Source organism: Homo sapiens, chromosome 1, assembly GCF_000001405.40.
Source record: "Homo sapiens chromosome 1, GRCh38.p14 Primary Assembly".
Lineage (NCBI taxonomy): Eukaryota > Metazoa > Chordata > Mammalia > Primates > Hominidae > Homo > Homo sapiens.
The window spans coordinates 178814312-178834547 of NC_000001.11; the positions used below are offsets into that span (position 1 = coordinate 178814312).

General features: G+C 36.7%; 1 protein-coding gene across 9 annotated transcripts in view; it reads left to right on the forward strand.

Annotated features, from left to right (window-relative positions):
- RALGPS2 (Ral GEF with PH domain and SH3 binding motif 2) overlaps positions 1-20236 on the forward strand; it is a 196597-nt gene that overhangs the window by 89068 nt on the left and 87293 nt on the right. For 7 of the 9 annotated variants that reach the window (XM_047423755.1, NM_152663.5, NM_001400042.1 and 4 more), the window contains 2 exons: positions 7301-7393; positions 19113-19239. In XM_047423755.1, the coding sequence (XP_047279711.1) occupies positions 7301-7393; positions 19113-19239 (220 nt within the window). The remainder of the gene's footprint in view (positions 1-7300; positions 7394-19112; positions 19240-20236) is intronic. The other 2 variants (NR_174383.1, NR_174384.1) reach the window with 1 other exon arrangement.

Consider the following 20236-nt stretch of genomic DNA (forward strand, 5'->3'; position numbering starts at 1 on the left):
ATTCTTGGCTATTATGAGCCCTGCTGCCATAAGCATTCTTGTATGAGTCTCTTGGTGCTTATGTGACGGTTGAAGCCCTAGAAATACAGAGTTCGTACTAGCAGTGAAATTACTGAGTCTCTCTCTCTCTCTCTTTTTTTAGACAGGATCTTGTTGTTCTGTCACCCAGGCTGAAGGCCAGTGGTGTGATCCCAACTCACTGCATCCTTGACCTTCTGGGCCCAGGCAATCTTCCTACCTCAGCCTCCCGAATAGTTAGGATTACAGGCATATGCCACCACCTGTGGCTAATTTCTGTTTTTTTGTTTTGTTTTGTTTTGTAAAGACAAGGTCTCATTATGTTGCCCAGGCTGGTCTTGAACTCCTGTGCTCAAGTGATCCTCCCATGTTGGCCTCCCAAAGTGCTGGGATTACAAGTGTGAGCTACTGTACCTGTCCCCTCGTCTCTTTAGCTTTGTTATAGATAACCTCCAAACTGATTTATATTTATATATGCTCACTAGCAATGTATGAAGATGCCTGTTGCTCCACATCCATGTCACCATCTGATATTGTCAAAATTTTTCATTGTTGCCAATTCTGGTGGATGTGAAATTTATCTCATTTTAGTTTTAATTGCTTTTCATTGAATCTGATAGGAGTGAACATCTTTTCTATGTTGGCCATTTAGGTTTTCTCTCTTGAAAGGTCTGTTTAAGATCTTTCAGCAGTTTTCTGTTTTGGTATTGGTCTTTTATTGTGTGTGTTTTGGTTTTTTTGTTTGTTTGTTTTTATTTATTTATTTATTTTGATGGATTCTCACTCTGTTGCCCAGGCTGTAGTGCAGTGGTGCAATCTTGGTTCACTGCACCCTCCACCTCCTGGGTTCATGTGATTCTCCTGCCTCAGCCTCCCAAGTAGCTGGGATTACAGGCTCACACCACCATGCCCAGTTAATTTTTGTATTTTTTTTTTAGTAGGACAGGGTTTTGCCATGTTGGTCAGGCTGGTCTTGAACTCCTGACCTCAGGTGATCCTCCCATCTCGGCCTCCCAAAGTTCTGGGATTACAGGTGTGAGCCACCGCGCCTGGCAGTCTTCTATTGATTTTTGTAGGAGTTCTTTATATAACTCTAGATGCTAGTTCTCATAAGCTTTGCATGTATCTTGCTATTTGTAGCTTGTCTTACCACTTTTTTCGTATTTTCTGATTTACATGTTCTTAATTTTAGTAGTCAGATTTACTGATCCTTAATTTCTGTCTTGGTCTGTTCTGGCTGCTATAACAAAAATACCGTTAACTAGGTGGCTTGTAAAAACAAACATTTATAAACAGTGAACATTCTAGAGAACTGTGAGGATTAAGTCCAATATCAAGGTGTCAGCAGATTCAGTGTCTGGTAAGGGCCCATTTCTCATAAAGCCCTTCATGTTGCAACAAAGTTCCTTCAAGCATTTTCCCAAACAACATTTCCTCCATATTGCCCTGCCAACACACCCCACTGCTACAATATAGATGAAGGCTGTTCTGGGAATTTATGTAAGTGGGATCCTACAGAAAGCTATTACTTGTGGTTGACTACTCTTGCTCACCATGTTGTTGAGATTCATCCACATTGCATGTTATTGATAATTCTTTTATTGCTAAGTAGATTTCCAGTGTATGGATATTCCACAATTTCTTCATCATTTGCTTATTAATGCACATATTGTTTTTACTTTGGCTTTTATGAATAAAACTGTTATGAACATTTTTGTGGAGTATGCATTGAGTTTTCTTGGATTATACCTAGGAATGGTGGACTTTCTGGGTTATAGATTAGGAATATGTTTTAACTTTATTAGAAACTGCCAAATATTGTTATTTTCCAACATAACCCGGTTGGTTTTACCACTTTAAATTGCAGTCAGCAATAAGTCTTCCAGTTACTCCACACATCTTGCCAGTACTTGGTGTTTAATTTTTTTTTTTAATCTGGCCTTTCTTTTTGGGTGTGTAATAGTATCTTACTGTGGTTTTAATTTGTATTTTTCTGATGATAGTGATGGTTGAGTATCTTTTCATATGTATGTGGACCATTTGGATATTTTGTTTTGTGATACTATCCTTTCAAATCTTTTACCCATATTTTTAATAGGATTGTTTGTCTTATCAAGTTGTAGGGATTTTTTTAATGTATTCTGAATACAAACCCTTTTCAGAAATAAGTATTTTTTCCTAGTCTATGCCTTGCGTTTTTATTTTAATGCTGTCTTTTGGTTAGTGAGCAGAACTGTTCAATTTTAATGAAGTCCCATTTGTTATTTTTATCTTTGTGGTTACTGTGTTTTGTGTCTTGTTTAATAAATCTTTTCTTAATCCAGGGTCATAAAGACATTTTCCTTTGATCACTCCTAGAAGTATTATAGTTTGAAGTGATTTTTTTTTTTTTTTTGGAGATGGAGTTTTGCTCATGTCACCCAGGCTGGTGCACAATGGCGCAATCTCAGCTCATTGCAACCTCTGCCTCCTAGGTTCAAGCGATTCTCCTGCCTCAGCCTCCCAAGTAGCTGAGATTACAGGCATGCACCACCACGCCCAGCTAATTTTTGTATTTTTAGTAGAGATGGGGTTTCACCATGTTGGCCAAGCTGGTCTCGAACTCCTGACTCAGGTGATCCACCCACCTCGGCATCCCAAAGTCCTGGGATTACAGGTGTGAGCCACCGCACCCAGCCAAATTAATTTTTGTGTCTGGTGGAAGGTGTAGGAGTTAAGGTTCATTTTTTTTCCTCATAATAATATCTAGGCCAGGCACAGTGGCTCACACCTATAATCCTAGCACTTTGGGAGGCTGAGGCGGGCAGATCACTTGAGGTCAGGAGTTTGAGACCAGCCTGGCCAAACTCTACTAAAAAATACAAAAATAACTAGGTGTGTTGGCGCACTCCTGTAATCCCAGCTACTCAGAAGGCTGAGGCAGGAGAATCACTTGAACCTGGAAGGCAGAGTTTGTGGTGAGCTAAGATCACGCCACTGCACTCCAGCCTGGGCGACAGAGACTCTGTCTCAATTTAAAAAAAAAAAAAAAAAAAAAAAAAAGAATATCTAATTGTGCTAACTCCATTCTTTTCTCTGTTTAACTGCTTTGACATTTTGGTTGAAAATCACTTGATCAAATACGTGTAGGTATATTTCTGTTCCTTTGATTTATTTGTCTATTCTTATTCCAATATCTCTTTGTCTTAATTACTGTAGCTTTGTAGTAAGCCTTGCAATCTGATAGTGTTCTAATTTTTTTTTCTTCTTCAAGATTGTCTTGGCTATGCTATCTCCATTTTATATCTGTGGAAATTTTAGAAGTAGCTTGTCAATTTCTACAACATGGCCTGCTTCCATTTTTGATTGAGGTTTTATTGAATTTATAGATCACTTTGGGAAGAATTGATAACAACATTAAGACTTTCAATCCACAAACATGGTTTATTTCTGTTTAAGTTTTCTTTAATTTCTCTCAGCAGTGCTTTATTTTCAGTGAAGCACTGTTGTATATCATTATTTCTAATAGACAGCCAATGTTCTGATATTATTGTAAATGTTTTTCCGGCTCATTTTCTAATTGTTTGGTGCTACATATGCAGTCGTGTTACCTGAAAATAAAGGCAGATTTGACTTCTTCCTTTCTGACTTTTCTACCTTTAAACATTATATTTAAAAGAATGGTAGAGACTGGAGTAAATACTCTCTTCTCCCAGGGTGGTTAAGCCCAATCCTCTGTGAGGGAACAAGAATGAGAAGCTGATTTTTCTGGCTGGGCATGGTGGCTCACGCCTGTAATCCTAGCACTCTGGAAGGCCAAGGCGGGCAGATCACCTGAGGTCAGGAGTTTGAGACCAGCTGGTCAACATAGTGAAACCCTGTCTCTACTAAAAATACAAAAATTAGCCATGCATGGTGGGGCTCTCCTGTAGTCCCAGCTACTCGGGAGGCTGAAGCAGGAGAATCACTTGAACCTGGGAGGCAGAGGTTGCAGTGAGCCGAGATCATGCCAGTGCACTCCAGCCTGGGTAACAGAGCGAGACCACGTCTCAAAAAAGAAAAAAGAGAGAGAAGCTGATTTTTCTGATCCAATTAGGAATTGAGGTGGATAGGGTTGAGTTTTAGCTTTAGTTAGTTTCATATAACCTCTGGTCACAAATGACTCAGGGCAAAATCTGTACTTTGTATGGTACAGGCCCCTTGCTGTAGTAGGGACCCTGGGATCTAAGTCCCAGAGATCTCTCTCTGCTTTCTAACCCAGCTGTCAGCCTCCAGCACTGACACACAGTAAAGTAAGTTCCATTAGGAGTGAATCAGTGGACACAGAGCCAACTCTAGGTTTGAGACTCCTACAGATTCTAGTCTATTATACCAGCCCACAGATTTTACTTTAGCAAAATCTGCCTGTCGGAGCCTTCATCTTTGCCTAGCCTTGTAGAGATTCAGCGTATGCCCTCAGGGAGGAAAAACTGTTTAAAGGCTGTTGGTTTTTTTTACTTTGGAATTTAGTTATTTGTGTTCTTTGTGTCCACAACTCTCCAGTGTCTTTAATAAAATGGTTTTCTAAGTTTTATCTGTTTTGTTTTCTTGCCATTATGGCTTTAACAATGGTTTCTCATGTTGTTCTACATCTTAGGCAGAAGCTACTAGTTCAGCATGAGTTTTTGTTGTTTTTCTTTTTCTTTTTTTTTTTTTTTTGAGACAGGGTCTTGCTGGGTTGCCCAGGCTAGAGTGCAGTGGCTCAAGCATGGCTCATCACAACCTGTGCCTCCTGGGCTCAAGCAGTCCTCCCATCTCAGCCTCCCCAGTAGCTGGGACTACAGGCACATGCCACCACGCACCTGGTTAATTTCTGTGTTTTTTTTATAGAGACAAGGTTTTGCCATGTTGCCCAGGCTGTTCATGAACTCCTGGGCTCAAGCAGTTCACCTGCCTCAGCCGCCGGAAGTGCTGGGATTACAAGTGTGAGTCACCATGGCTGGCCTCTGTTTATTCTTACTATGAAGTAGTTATTTGGGCTGCAAACCTCCATAAGACCCCTCCCCTCTTCCCTTAGCACTAAGGTTCACAGCAGGCATTGTTGTCTGGCAGTCTCTTGATGGTGGGTAAGGATTACTTCTATCCTGCCCTTACGCTCAGGCAATGAGTCCTTCAGTGTCTCTGCTTTATGCAATGAGAGTCTCTTATTGGAACCCCCACCATAGATTAGGCCCTGGGCAATGTGTCCCATGAAGCTTGGAAAGCTAACCAGATTTTCAAATGTCCTCCAAGGGATTGCCAGCTTTGGTGTTCAGCTTACATCTCTGGATTCTCCTTAGTTTTAGGGCCCTAAGTATTCCTTACTTTATTGCTAGCTTTACAGTGAATTTTCATAAGATGTGTTTCATATCTTACCCAATATTTTTAATTATTTTCACTGGAAGAGTAGGTCAAGGTGTCTAATTTACCAGACTTCTGGTATGTAGTCCTTACTAAATTTTGAATCCATTCCCCCTCTTCAACTCCACTGACACTAATGTATCAGATCCTTCTCATCATCTCTCACTGTAGTCTCTGAACTGATTCCCTTCCTGTATGCCACCTTCTGCTCCCTGATCTTTCCAAAATGTAGTACACATCCATAATATCTTACCCAAAGCATTTGGGGCCAGATATATTTAGGAATACACTTTTTTCCCCAGATTTTAGAAAGGTGGTATAGTTCATATACCATCTGTGGTATGCTCATCACAATCACCTCCACCTCCTGCTTATGTAATACCTTGAAATCAAACACACTTAATATTTTTGGAGCAAAACATGTAATTATTCACCTTAAGTGAGATCAATGAAGTCTGTCATTAGCCTCACATCAGGTTAGATTTTCCCACCTAGTGAACCTGAGACCACACTACCAAATAAACAAAACTTTGACTTTTCAGGTTTGAGATCTCAGAATTGCAGATAAAGGGTTGTGAACCGATGCCTGGCATTCAGTTATATCATTCTCAAATTTAAAAATTCTCCAAATCCTCCACTGGAGTTCTTACTGCTTATGAGAGCAAATCTAGCCTTTAAAGAGGCTTCACATGTAAAAATGGCCCTTTCTGGTTTCATCTTCTGGTACTCTGATACTTCTCATATTCAGCTTCCAGACACCTTCATGCCTTTGTGCTTTTTGTAAATTGTATTCCCTCTTTCTCATAGCCCCTCACTCTCAAGTGTCATTTCTGGAAATCTGAATCTCTCAGACAAAGTTAGGGGCTGATTATTCTGTAGAACCCTATATATACTTTTATTTATATAACCCTATATATACTTTTATTCTAGAAATATGCAAATTGGATTTGTATTTGTTTTCATGTCTCACTAGACTGAAGCTTCTTGATAGGTCTTTTTCATTTTTGTATATGCAGTCTAATATGGTGCCTAGTATAATAAATGCTTAAAATACATTCATTGAATGGTTTTCCAGTTAGATTATATAACCTTGGATGAGGGTTTATATTATGTTTTGTGTTATTAATTTATTTTGTTTTTATTTGTTTTCTTCGGGCTTTCAATTAAATGCTGTATCCACAGCATTTTCTAGACCTGGGGCTTACCTGGCTGTAGGATTAGGACAGTTGTAAAATGACTGATTTTTAGACAGGACTTGCAGGATATAAGCATCAGGCAGTATTTAAAAATCTGGGAAATTAGCAATAAATGTTATGCAGATCTCATGGGAAAGTGCTGGAAACTAGTGTTAGGTAGGAGTTTTATGCATACAGACTGTAAAATCAATGTCTCAGCACGAATGAGGGAAAAAGGATCTGGGGATTTGGGTAGGAGGAAGCAGAAAATTGAGAGGGACTGTACTGTGAAAGGCAGGTTTCTCCCTTGCCCTGGAATAATGGGAGTACTGGATGGGAAACCAAATCAGAATCCTGGATGTTGACCCTTTATTGAAACTTGAAACATAAAGCAGAGGCTTAGTAATAGTTCAGTATAAGGGAGACTGTTTACTAGAAACCAGCTTTCATGATCATACCATGTAAACTTGATAATGAGACATAACCTTGGTTTTCTTAATATATTACTCAACTAGAGGTAGATTTATTCCCAGAGTTTGGGGACAATGCCAGGGTAGAACATGTAAGTTCTGTTGTGCACCAAAATAACTTAGTGTAAACACAGGGTACTCTAAAGACAGTTCTCAGTAATGAAGGTAATATATGCTGGAACACTACCAGTTGCCAAGATTGTACTTGTTAGTCTAAATTTTCTTGTATTCATGTTGTTCTTTTTCATCCCTCTCCCCCATTTTTTTTCAAATCTTCAGAAACTGTATGAGCTGAATAACCTTCATGCACTTATGGCAGTGGTTTCTGGCCTACAGAGTGCCCCAATTTTCAGGTTGACTAAAACATGGGCGGTGAGTAATATTCTTTAGTTAATGAAAGGTTAGACTTCCTGTGGAAAGGAAAGATATATTCATTTCCTTTGTAATTCTTATTAAAGTTAATATAATGATAATCAATAAGGATTTTTAAATTGCTTTGTACTCTATTCTTTGATACCTACATTTTTTCTCCTTAAGCAGTGCACTGGGTATAAGGTAATTTTTGGGTACAGCTTGGTGCTTAGTTTTTGCTCCTTAGAGAATCATTTTTGTTGAAACACTTTCAATATCTTTGACAACGTAATGTTTAATATTCAACTGATGGAAGGTATGAATACAAAAAAATTGCATTTAATCGTAAAGATTATGCTTTTGGAAAGTTTGAGGCATATCTGAATCATAGGTTTCAAAAAAATTTTACTGATTTCAATTTCCATTATTTTTTAGTGAGTAAATCTTAAGTTTTTTCCTTAGGAATAATGGAAAACTAGATGATTAACATGGAATTATTTGCTGTTGCTGCACATGCTGATATTATGTTAATCATATTTGGTTCTATTACTTATATGAGATCAGAGTATGAATTTTGACCTCTGCAAATTTGTGTATTTTCATATTTGAGTAACATGATATTGTACTCAATCTTTTCAGGTAGTTTTCATTTATAGTTTATATAAGTAAAATTTTATATTCAATTAAATTTATTTATATTCAATACTATTCTTTAATGTTAAAGAGCAACTATTTTGTTTAGAATCGATTACATTTTGTACAAAGGATCAATGTGTTTTTAAGGTTCTGGGCTAAAATCATGACTGACTTTTTAAAACTTTATTACTAAAATATAACTTTTTAATTAACAAAGTGCTGCTTTTGCTTTTTATAGTATCTGAAGAGACAGATGTTTCCCATGAAAACCAGTGTAGATTTCTATATTGGAAAAACATTAGTATGGAAAAGCTTGTGATCCTTTTTATGTTTCTCTTTTCTATTTTATAGAAAAACCTTGGTGTGAAGGGTTTTCTTTAAAAATTCTTTTTAATAATTATGGCCTTATTGTCTTTTCTTAAAATTTGAATTTCATGGAGGAATGGAAATGATTATAAATATACAGTTATGAATTATATCTTTAAAGTTTTAGGGAAAAGAATTATACGCTGTGAAAAAAAAATTCTATTTTTATTTTTTGCATCCAGGCTGGAGTGTAGCACGATCATAGCTTACTGCAGCCCCCAACTCCTGGGCTCAGAGGATCCTCCAGCCTCAGCCTCCCAAGTAACTGGACTACAGGCACATGCCACCATGCCCAACTAATTTTTTAAAAAGTTTTTATAGTGATGGGGTCTCACTGTGTTGTCCAGGCTGTTTTCGAACGCCTGATCTCAAGTGATCCTCCCGCCTTAGCCTCTCAAAGTGCTGGGATTACAGGCATGAGCCATTACGCCCAGTCCTATACTTTTATTTATGATTTGGTTTAGTAATGAGGTAGATTTTGCTGAAGTTAATTTTTATTTTCCTTGAAGATATTTTCATTGCCTCCCTTATGTATTTTTGTGGAAAATAATAATTTTTATTTGGTAACAGCTTCATTATTTATCTGAATAAAACTTTTGATGGTTTGTATTTTAAAATATTTCATACTGTGCTATGCACTCTGTAATTGCTTGACATTTAATAGTGAATGATCTAGACAAAGTTCCATTTTCATACAGCTAACATTCTGCTGGGGAAGAATAAATTACAAATAAATAAATGACATAAATAGCAATAAATGCTCTGAAGAAAAGTAGAAAGGAAGGCAGGACAGTACTGTGTTATGTAACATGGTAAGAGAATTGTTGATAAATGACAGTTCAGTAGAGACCTGGAGGAATTGAGGGAACCATTTATTTGGATATCTGGGAGAAGAGAATTCCAAGTAGAGGTAATAACAAGTAAAAAGGCCCAGATACATTCAAATGGCAGAGTGGTTAGTGTTGACAGTAGAATAAGCTAGGAAGGTACCCGGTGGTAGGAGATGATTTCAAAGAGGTGGCATGAATCAGATAATGGAGGTGCTGTTTACTTATATTCAGAGAGGTATAGAGAAGGACCATTGTGGGCTGGGGTTCTATTTTACACATACTGTGTTTGAGTTGGCTAGTAAACATCCATGTGAAATGTAAGGTCAGACTTAGATGTACAAGTTTAAGGGAGTGGTTGGGGCTAGAGAGAGATTGTTATAATCATCAATGTAAACTATTTGAAGCTAGATGGGATTACCTAAGGAGGGAGCATAGATGAAAAGCCCTGGGAACCTCCAGGATTCCCAAGTAGAGATTGGAAAAATGAGGAGAAATCAACAAAGGAAATTACGGGTAGGACACATTTTTCACAGTCAGGTAAAGAAAATGTTTCAATAAAAATTGATCACCTTTGTCAAATGCTACTAATAATTTGAATAAGGTGCAAAGTTTGAGATGACCTGACAATTGGAAAGGATTGGTGACCTCGGGAAGAGTGATTTCAGTAGAGAATGGGGTGAAAAACTGACTGGAGTTGAGAGAATGGTGATGAAGAAGTGGGACAGCAAGTATAGAGAATGCTTTTGAGGAATTTTACTGTAAAGGGCTGCAGTGTGGTTTGCAGAGAAATATGGTACCTGGAAGGGAATGTGGGACCAAAGATTTGTTGTATTTTGTTTTGTTTTTGGAAATGGCATCAATGGCAATATGTTTTATGTTGGTGGCAATAATCTAGTAGAACTAAAAAAATGACAAGAGAATGAGGAATTATACCAGTGATATGCTTGATGAGATGAAAGAGAATTAGATTTAGTACCCTAGTGTATCAGTAAGAGTTTATCCATTTTACGCCGGGTGCAGTGGTGGCTCATGCCTGTAACTCCAGCACTTTGGGAGGCCAAGTCGGGCGGATCACAAGGTCAGGAGATCCAGACCATCCTGGCTAAAACGGTGAAACCCCGTCTCTACTAAAAATACAAAAAAATTAGTCAGACGTGGTGATGGGCGCCTGTAGTCCCAGCTACTCTGGAGGCTGAGGCAGGAGAATGGCGTGAACCCAGGAGGCGGAGCTTGCAGTGAGCCGAGATCGCGCTACTGCACTCCAGCCTGTGCGACAGAGCAAGACTCTGTCTCAAAAAAAAAGAAAAAAAAAGAAAAGATAGTTTATCCATTTTAACAGCAGGGAAGGGAACACATTTAGTTACAGATGCAGGTAAGTTGGTAGATTTCGTGGTGGGATTCTTAGAAGTTCTGATTGTTTTGTTTCCTCAGACATAAAAAAGCAAGGTCTTTAGTTAAGGTGGTATGGGAGAGGTGTTGGAGATTTGAAGAAAGAAGAGAGGATATAAAAGTCATCTGGAGAGTGTGAGAGTGTGTTAACTAAGAAAACGTAATAGGTTTGATAGACCTTATGTAGGATCCATCTACTTAAGACTTTTTTTTAATCATGAATTTAAAGTAAAACCAGTCAGCAGAGTTATGTATTCTCCAGCCAGGTTCAGATATTCAGCATAAGCTTTCAATAGTGCCAAGAGTTGTATTTAACCAGAGATGGGATTTTTCGAGGCTTTTGTACCAGAAGGGTTAAGGGTAGCACAAGAGGTGAAAGACGGAAAATATGAGAGTTGTTTTATTGACAGATGAGGAAACTAAGCCAAGTAAAAGGAGGAAGATGATGAACAGTGAAAAGGTAGGCTGGTCAGTGGTTTGGAAGCCACAGTGGAGTCAAATAATCACTGGATTCAGAATGAGAAAGGGAGTGCAAGCTGAGGGTGGTAGAAGATAAGATCATTGGAGCAGAAGTCCAGAAACTAAGAAACCAGAGTATTGGGAGTATTCTCTCCATGAAATGGCAATCACCAAGATTTATGATAATAATTTTGGTTCATGGATTTTTTTTCTCCAACTACAAAAATCTTCAAGATATAGGGGGAAAATGACTTGTAGATCTATAAATGACAGTAACATAAGTGTTGTAATCTAGGGTTCTCTTGTTTAATATGGTAGCCATTAGCTACATGTGGCTATTACATTTAAATCATTAAAATAAAATAAAATAAAAAATTTAGCTCCTTGATCATACTAGCCACATTGCAAGTGCTCAGTAGTCACATGTGGCTAGTGGCTATCATATTGGACAGCACAGGCATAGATTTTCACCATCACATAAAATTCTGTTGGACAGCACTTATCCTAGTGCCTTCAATTTAATAGAAGCTGGAGGATTTTAGGGAGCAGGGTGAGAGATAATGAGCTGGAAGAAATTGTGAAGAGTAAGGAGCAAAGATTACACCTAACCTACCTCCAGGCATATGTTACAAGGTTTATAAGAAAAGAAAGGGAATGCTTAGAGAAAATGTTAAGGATAGGGATTTTGCAGAGGATGGACCATGAATTCAGGAGGATACAGTTGGAAAGGTTTGGGATGGTTTTGTTTTGTTTTGTTTTAACCGATAAAGGGAATGTACCAAAAAGACAACAACATTCTATGTAGGGAAAATATTAAGAGCATCAAGGAAAAGGATGCACAATTTCACTGTTGTATTCAACATATAATTGCTATTGTATATGTTTTAATGTTCATAACAACATTATTCACATAGTCAAAAGGTAGAAACAACCCAAACATCTAACAGTGGATGAATGAATAGACAAAATATAGTTTATACATACAGTGGAATATTCATCTCTCTTTAAAAGCAATGAAATCTTGATACATGCTGCACCATGAATAAACCTTCAGACATTATGCTAAGTGAAATAAACCAGATACAAAAGAACAAATACTGTATAATTCCTATAATTCCACTTATATGAGGTACCTAGAGTAATCAAATTCATACAGACAGAATCTAGATTGATGGTTGCCAGGGATGGGGAGAAATGGGATTTGGGAGTTATTATTTAATGGATATGGAGTTTCATTTTGAGAAGATGAAAAACTTTTGGATATGGATGTTGGTGATATCCTTGAAATGTCCCCCTGAAAATGGTTAATTGTATGTTACGTATATATTTTACCACAGTTTTTAAAAAATAGGTTTACTTAAAGTGGTTGAATATATGAGCAATACAAAATTGGTTATATTTGAAACAAGTATTATTTAAAAGGACATCGTTTACAATATCAACAAAAGAAACAAAATATCAAACAATAAGTGGAATAAAATGTGTAAGACCTATATGCAGAAAGTTATAAAACTTTACAGGAAGTCATTAACAAAGAACTAAATAGAGGGAGCAATAGCCCATGTTCATGGATAGAACTATTAGAGTTCTAACAGGTTTTTGAAACTGTAAAATAAACTGAATGTTACTAAATAAATGAATTTAGTAACATTCCAAGATACAAAATTATCTTACAAAAATCAGTTGCATTTCTGTACATTAATAACGAACTATCTGAAAAATTAAGTTTAACCAAGGAGGTGAAAAATCTATACACAGAAAACTATAAAACATTAATGAAAGAAATTGAATAAGATACAAATGAATGGAAGGATATCCTGTGTTTGTGCATTGGAAGAATTCATATTGTTAAAATATCCATACAGCCCAAAGCAATCTACAGATTCAGTGCAGTCACTATCAAAATTTCAATGACATTTATCACAGAAATAGAAAAAACAATTCTAAAATTCACATGGAATCACAAACATCTCAGAATAGCCAAAGCAATCTTGAGCAACAACAAAGCTAGAGACATCATACTCTCTGATTTTTTTTTTTTTTTTTTTTGAGACGGAGTCTCGCTCTGTCGCCCAGGCTGGAGTGCAGTGGCGGGATCTCGGCTCACTGCAAGCTCCGCCTCCCGGGTTCACGCCATTCTCCTGCCTCAGCCTCCCAAGTAGCTGGGACTACAGGCGCCCGCCACTACGCCCGGCTAATTTTTTGTATTTTTTAGTAGAGACGGGGTTTCACCATTTTAGCCGGGATGGTCTCGATCTCCTGACCTCGTGATCCGCCCGCCTCGGCCTCCCAAAGTGCTGGGATTACAGGCGTGAGCCACCGCGCCCGGCCCATACTCTCTGATTTTAAAATACACTGTGAAGCTATAGTAATCAAAATATTGTGGTTAGCATAAAATAGACATGTAGACCAATGGACCAAAATAAAGGGCCCAGAAATAAATACACACATTTACAGTCAATTGATCCTCAACAAAGATAACAAGAACACACAATGGGGAAATGGTAGTTTCTTCAATAAATTGTGTCAGAAAAACTGGATGTCCGCATGCAAAAGAATGAAACTGGACCCTTATCTCATACCATCTGCAAAAATGAACTCAAAATATACTTAGTACTTAAACATGAGACCTGAAACTGTAAAACTACTAGAAGAAAACACACGGGAAAAGCTTCTTGACAGTGGATCTGGACAATAATTTTTTGGCTATGACCCCAAAAGTACAAGCAACGAAAGCAAAAATATACAAAATGGGATTGCATCAAACTAAAAAGCTTTTGTACAGCAAAGGAGACAGTCTATGGAATGGGAGAAGATATTTGCAAATAATACATCTGATAAGGGGTTAATATCCAAAATACAGTCATGCATGGCTTAACAATGAGGATACTTTCGGAGAAATGTGTTGTTTGGTGATTTTGTTGTTCAGACATCATAGAGTGTAATCACACAAACCTAGATGGCATAGCCTACAATACACCTAGGCTATATGGTACAGCCTATTGCTTCTAGACTACAAACCTATACACCATGTTACTGTACTGAGTAGGCAGTTATAACACGGTGGTATTTGTATATTTAAACATGGAAACAGCACAGTAAAAAATACAGTATTATAATCTTATGGGACCACTGTTGTATATGCAGTTTGTTCTTGACTGACATGTCGTTTTGCAGCACATGACTGTATAAGGAACTCAGACAATGTGATAACAAGAAAACAACCCAATTAAAAAATGGGCAAAGGATCTGAATAGACATTTCTCAAAAGAAAACATACACAAGTCCCACAGGTATATCAAAAGGTGCTCAACATCGCTAATCATCAGGGCAGTGCAAATCAAAACCACATAATATATCATCTCACACCTGTTAGAATAGCTGTTATCAAAAAGCCAAAAGATAACTAACGAGTTTTGGTAAAGATGTGGAGAAAAGGGAACTGTTGTACAGTGTTGGTGGGAATGTAAATTGGTACAGTCATGGAAAACAGTATGGAGATTCCCCCAAAAATAATAATAGAACAATTATGTGATCCAGCAATCCCATTTCTGAGTATGTGTCCAGAGAAATTGAAATTGATATGTCAAAGAGATATCTGCACTCCTATGTTCGTTGCAGCATTATTCACAATAGCCAGGATATGGAACCAACCTAAATGTCCATCAGCAGATGAATGGATAAAGAAAATGTGGTTTATATACACAATGGAATACTATTCAGCCTTACATTTACAACAGCATGGATGAATTTGGAGATCATTATCCTCAGTGAAATAAGCTAGATACAGAAAGACAAATGCTACTGCACAATTTCACTTATCTGTGAAATCTTACCAGGCTGAACTCATAGAAGCAAAAAGTAGAAGGATGGTTGCTGAGGGGCAGGGGAAATGTTGGGTCAGTAGGTACAAAGTTTCAGTTATGTAGAACAGGGGTCCCCAAACCCCGGGCTGCTGACCAGTGCTGGTCCATGGCCTGTTAGGAACCAGGCCACAGCAGGAGGTGGGCAGCAGGCAAGTGAGCATTACGGCATGAGGTCCATCTCCTGTCAAATCAGTGGCAGCATTAGATTCTCATAGGTACATGAACCCTATTGTGAACTCCGCATGTGAAGGATCTAGGTTGTGTGCTCCTTATGAGAATCTAATGCCTGATGATCTGAGGTGGAACAGTTTCATCCCAAAACCTTTCCCCATTCATGTTCATGGAAAAATTGTCGCTGGTGCCAAAAAGGTTAGGGACCACTAATGGAGAGAGAATAAGTTCTGGAGATCTAATGTACAGCATGAGGACTATAGTTGACTATAGTTAATAAGACTATGTTGTATACTTGAACTTTTCTGAGAGAGTGGATCTTTTTAAATTTTATTTATTATTTATTTATTTTTATTTTTTTTGAGATGGAGTCTCGCTCTATCACCCAGGCTGTAGCGCAGTGGCACAATCTTGGCTCACTGCAATCTCCACTTCCCAGGCTCAAGTGATTCTCCTGCCTCAGCCTCCTGAGTAGCTGGGATTACAGGCGCCCACCATTTTGCCCAGCTAATTTTTATATTTTTAGTAGAGATGGCGTTTTGCCTTGTTGGCCAGGCTGGTCTCGAACTCCTGACCTCAAGTGATCTGCCTGCCTTGGCCTCCCAAAGTGCTAGGATTACAAGCTTGAGCCACCGTGTCCAGCCTAAAAGAGTGAATCTTAAATGTTCTTACCATACAAATACATAAGAAGTAACTAACTTTGTGAGATGATGGATATGTTAATTAGCTTGATAGCTTGATAATAATTTCATTATATATGTGTATTAAAACATGTACACCTCAAGTATATGCAATTTAAATTTGTCAGTTATACCCCAGTACTGCTGGTGGAAGATTGATTGTAAAATTTATATGGAAATTTAAAGGTTCAGGAATAGCTAAAGAAGACAATGGGAATTGGGGAGATAAGCACTTGGCCTAACAGATGTCAGGATATACTAGATTCTTGGACAGTGTATGATTCCTGCAGTTTTAGACATATCTACCAATGAAACAGAATGAAGAACCCAGAAATACCTCCTTGTTTTTACAGGATTCTGATACGTGTATGACAGAGGTGGCATTGTAAGTTGGTAAAGAAATGAGGGGCTGTTTATTAATTGGAGCTGCAAAATTGGTCACCAGTTTGGGGGAAAAAATGAAATCAGGCCCCTTGCGCCATTCACAAAAATCCTTGTGAGATGACTCAAGGGCTTAAATGTGAAATGAAAAACTTCAGTTTTTTAGAAGGAAAAATATATGTGAATATCTCTCTGGTTTGGCATGAATAGATTTCTGGCTTTGGATAAGTAAGGATTTTTTAGATAAGATACAGAAAGCTCCAACAATGAAAAAAATAATAATAAATTTTGTCATGTTAGAGTAAGAATTTCTGTTCATCAAAAGATACCTTAAAATGGAAAAGAGGATGCAGTGGGCGGAAGATATGTGCAACAGTTAGTTGTCCAACTAGAATGTGTCCAACACAAGAATTTGCATCCAGAACTCTTAACAACGAAAAAAGAAAAAAAATAGAAAAATTAACATTATAAATGTATTTTGTAGAGGAGAGGATACACATAGAAGCAGTGAAAATGAATGAACTATAGCTTCCCACAACTTCATGGATGAAGCTTTAATATCACAATGTTATATGAACAAAGTAATTGCCAAAGACTAAAAATGAAATAAAAGTTAAAATGGAATAAAATTTGCCAAAAATGAAATAAAATTTGAGGGGAATGATAAACAGAACATTCAGAGTAGTGGTTACTGGTTACCTCTTAAAGGCAGTCAAGGCAATTGGATGGAAGATGAGTCATGTGTGTTCGTTATAAAGTTTAAATCCATTTAACAAAGCCATACCAGGCTCTAATGATAATTGAGTGTCACAAACAAAAGATTATAATTAATCTGCACCCCGGGTCTAAGATAAAGTATTCATTTATGCAGTTGCACACATTCACACATATTGTGTGAAGATACAAACCAAGGTGATGAGGAATAATCTGGGAGTTTGTGTTTCCTGGGGTGACTGACATGAGCGGGCATTCATCTAGGTTTTCCCCCAAAACAGATTGTGGTGGTAAGGTGGTGTTAGATATCTGGTCAGGAACATCTAGAATTCTGTGGGTCTCCTCTTTCATTAATATCAATGAAAGTGTGAAGAGGCTTGCCCCCATTTGTCATGCTCTTGGTGCCAAGGACATGTAGAAGTAGAACACTGTGAAGTATTTTGTCCGCCCCGCCCCCCCCACCCCCAGCGGTTTTTGGAGGGGAAAATACAGTAAAGAGACTTTTTAAATATAACATTATAAATATCAAAAGAAGATTTGAAAAGAAGAAAGAAAAGGCTTCTCAGTTAATAGAGCTTCTGAGCTATCATTCAGGAAATACCTATATTAACATCTAATTAGTTCTTTATATTCATATTCTTCCTCTAGTCTTCTGGAAACAAGTCTCTCCTACCACAACTCAGATTGAATTCTATTTATCTGATTATTGATTTATTATGAAAATTACAAAATCATGTTATAGTTTGTTATAACAGTTCTGTGTTTCAGCTGTGGCAAGATTAGTTACGAGTTCTAAGTAATTTGTTTCTCCTGGTATTGTACCAAAGTTTTTGAATGATTGACTTAGGGGAAAATAAAGAGCAGGTTTATCATTATCCCTATGTCACATAACTATATTTTGCATATCCAGATACTTCCTTAAGTGGTAAAGAGTTAGATATACAGGCAGCAAGCAAACATTTGCACCTAATCTTGAGATTACTAATCAAGTATCTTGAAAGTGGAGTAAGAGAAAATTGTAAAACCGCTGTTTTAGACCATGGAATATCCATCTAAAACATTAAAGCAAAGGACCCCTTGACGTTGTATTTTAAAGAGGGAGCGATACTGTTGAGACATTTTTCTAATAGAGATTTTCTGAAGATAGTCTGCATCTTTGAGCCTCTGAACAATAGATCCCAACTGTACTACTTATAATACTAGAAAGAGTAGTGGATTAGGTGTCAGAATATTCTTATCTCCAGAACCAGACTATAAGATCCTGAAAAACAAGGACATACATCTTTGTGAGTGAGTGGGTAACAGAGAGTATTATATTCTGCTGCTTGCTAACCTTGTGATCTCAGTCTCTTCATCTCTAAATTAATACTCATACTTTTTTGTTAATCTCATAGGAAAATTAGGTGAGACTTACATAGGTGGAAATGTTTTGCATGCTGTAAAACAACACCAATATTTTAATATGAAATAAAGTGAAATCTAATGTAGTAATGAAATAGAAACTTCATGTCTAAATAAAAAAAAAAATTTTCCAGTCTTTGGAATGATTTGAAAAACTATTTCCTGAACCTTTTAGTGAACACCATTGTGGGTGACTGACTTTGCTTTTTTTTTTTTCAACTCCCCTTGATTATTTACATTGATCTCAAAGGCACTTACTGCAAATCTGCCTCTCAAGTGTCTTACAACAGTATCTTTTAGTTATGTTGTATGTGATATAGCACTGATCAAAGAGAAGAAAATATCAGAAATCCAAAAATGTAAGGAATTAAAGGATTTTACAGTTATTAGGACTAGCCATGACTAGATTTATCAAGAAAAAGTGTTAATCGCAAAATTTGGTGTTTATTTCTTAACATTATGCAAGAATGATGTTTATCTTTGAGGTGGCAAGGGACAGTTCATTAAAATACTTGGACATTTGAGCTAAATATGAATGCATAATTTTCTAAAATTAGGAAGGTGATTAATAAAAATTGATTAATTTAAAATAGTAAACACGAAAATGTTATAATTTATTACTTAGTTAATTTTATGAACATACAAAGGATATCTTATAAATAATGAATTTGGATTATTAATAGACAAATCTGATTTTGTCTTATTTATATACTACCAAGATATAATTAAAGAAGATATAACTTTGAAATTAAAATCCATATTCACAGTAAATACAACTTCAGTTCAGGTCTTTGCTACAATAAAATGAGATTTGTAAATAACTTAGGTTTTTCTGTTTGTTTTTTAGTTATTAAGTCGAAAAGACAAAACTACCTTTGAAAAATTAGAATATGTAATGAGTAAAGAAGATAACTACAAAAGACTCAGAGACTATATAAGTAGCTTAAAGATGACACCTTGCATTCCCTATTTAGGTGAGTTATGTCACTGTGTGTTTTTTGTTTCTAGTTGTTACTCTTCCTTACTCAGTAATTTATGTGAAATTCAAGGTATTTTTTAAATGTTTGTATCTTTTAAATAAATTACTTCAAGATTGGTAAGCTGAAAAAAATGACTAAAGATAGTTGTTACCCTGTTACCTGGAATGTATTTTCATATTAGATTAGCCTTTTGCCCTCAAGGTTTTTCTTAGACTATTATGTTTTCTTAGAGTAGGACCATATAGTAAAACAATATTTTTAGCTGTTTTAGTAATGCTTTTAAAGAATATAATAGTTCGTAATGATGTTTAATACATTAAGGAAATTGATCAAAGTCCTTATATAGTGAGGAGATATTTTAGTGTGAATTCTGAAGTAGTCTCAGTGCATATTGGTATTGTTGTTTACCTGAATGAAATGAGTTGATTCACTGTGGCAATTTAGCTTCGTGCTGAGACAGTTCTGTATTTCGCATCTCATCTAATTAAGAATTTATCTCTTTATTATATATCTTGTAGTGCTTATAAATTCAAGAAGTATTTAACCAGTAATATTATAAGATTATTTTTAACAAAATATGAATAATGCTTTGTTAGGTGTTTGAATGAAAAGAAGACCCAAATAAGTTGTTCTTTTAAATAGGTATGTAAATCAAACATAAGGAAAATACATGATACATACCTAGCATACATTAAAATGAATTGATTTGATCCTATGTAGAGAGTAATCAAATGATGAAGATTTGGTGCTTTCTGGTCCTCCCCACCCCCCAGATTTTGTGTTTGATGAAATTACTCACACTAAATTTCAAGATAGCTATTTCTGAGAGTGATTACAGTGTCACCTTGAAGTGTTTACAGTCCCAGTGACTAGAAGACAAAGAAGGGACAAAGGCAGTTGATACATGCCCATTTAGCTACTATAGAACATCAACCTTAGTTTCCCAGAGAAGAGTTTAACTCTTTAGAATATTGTGGGACACCCTAGGATT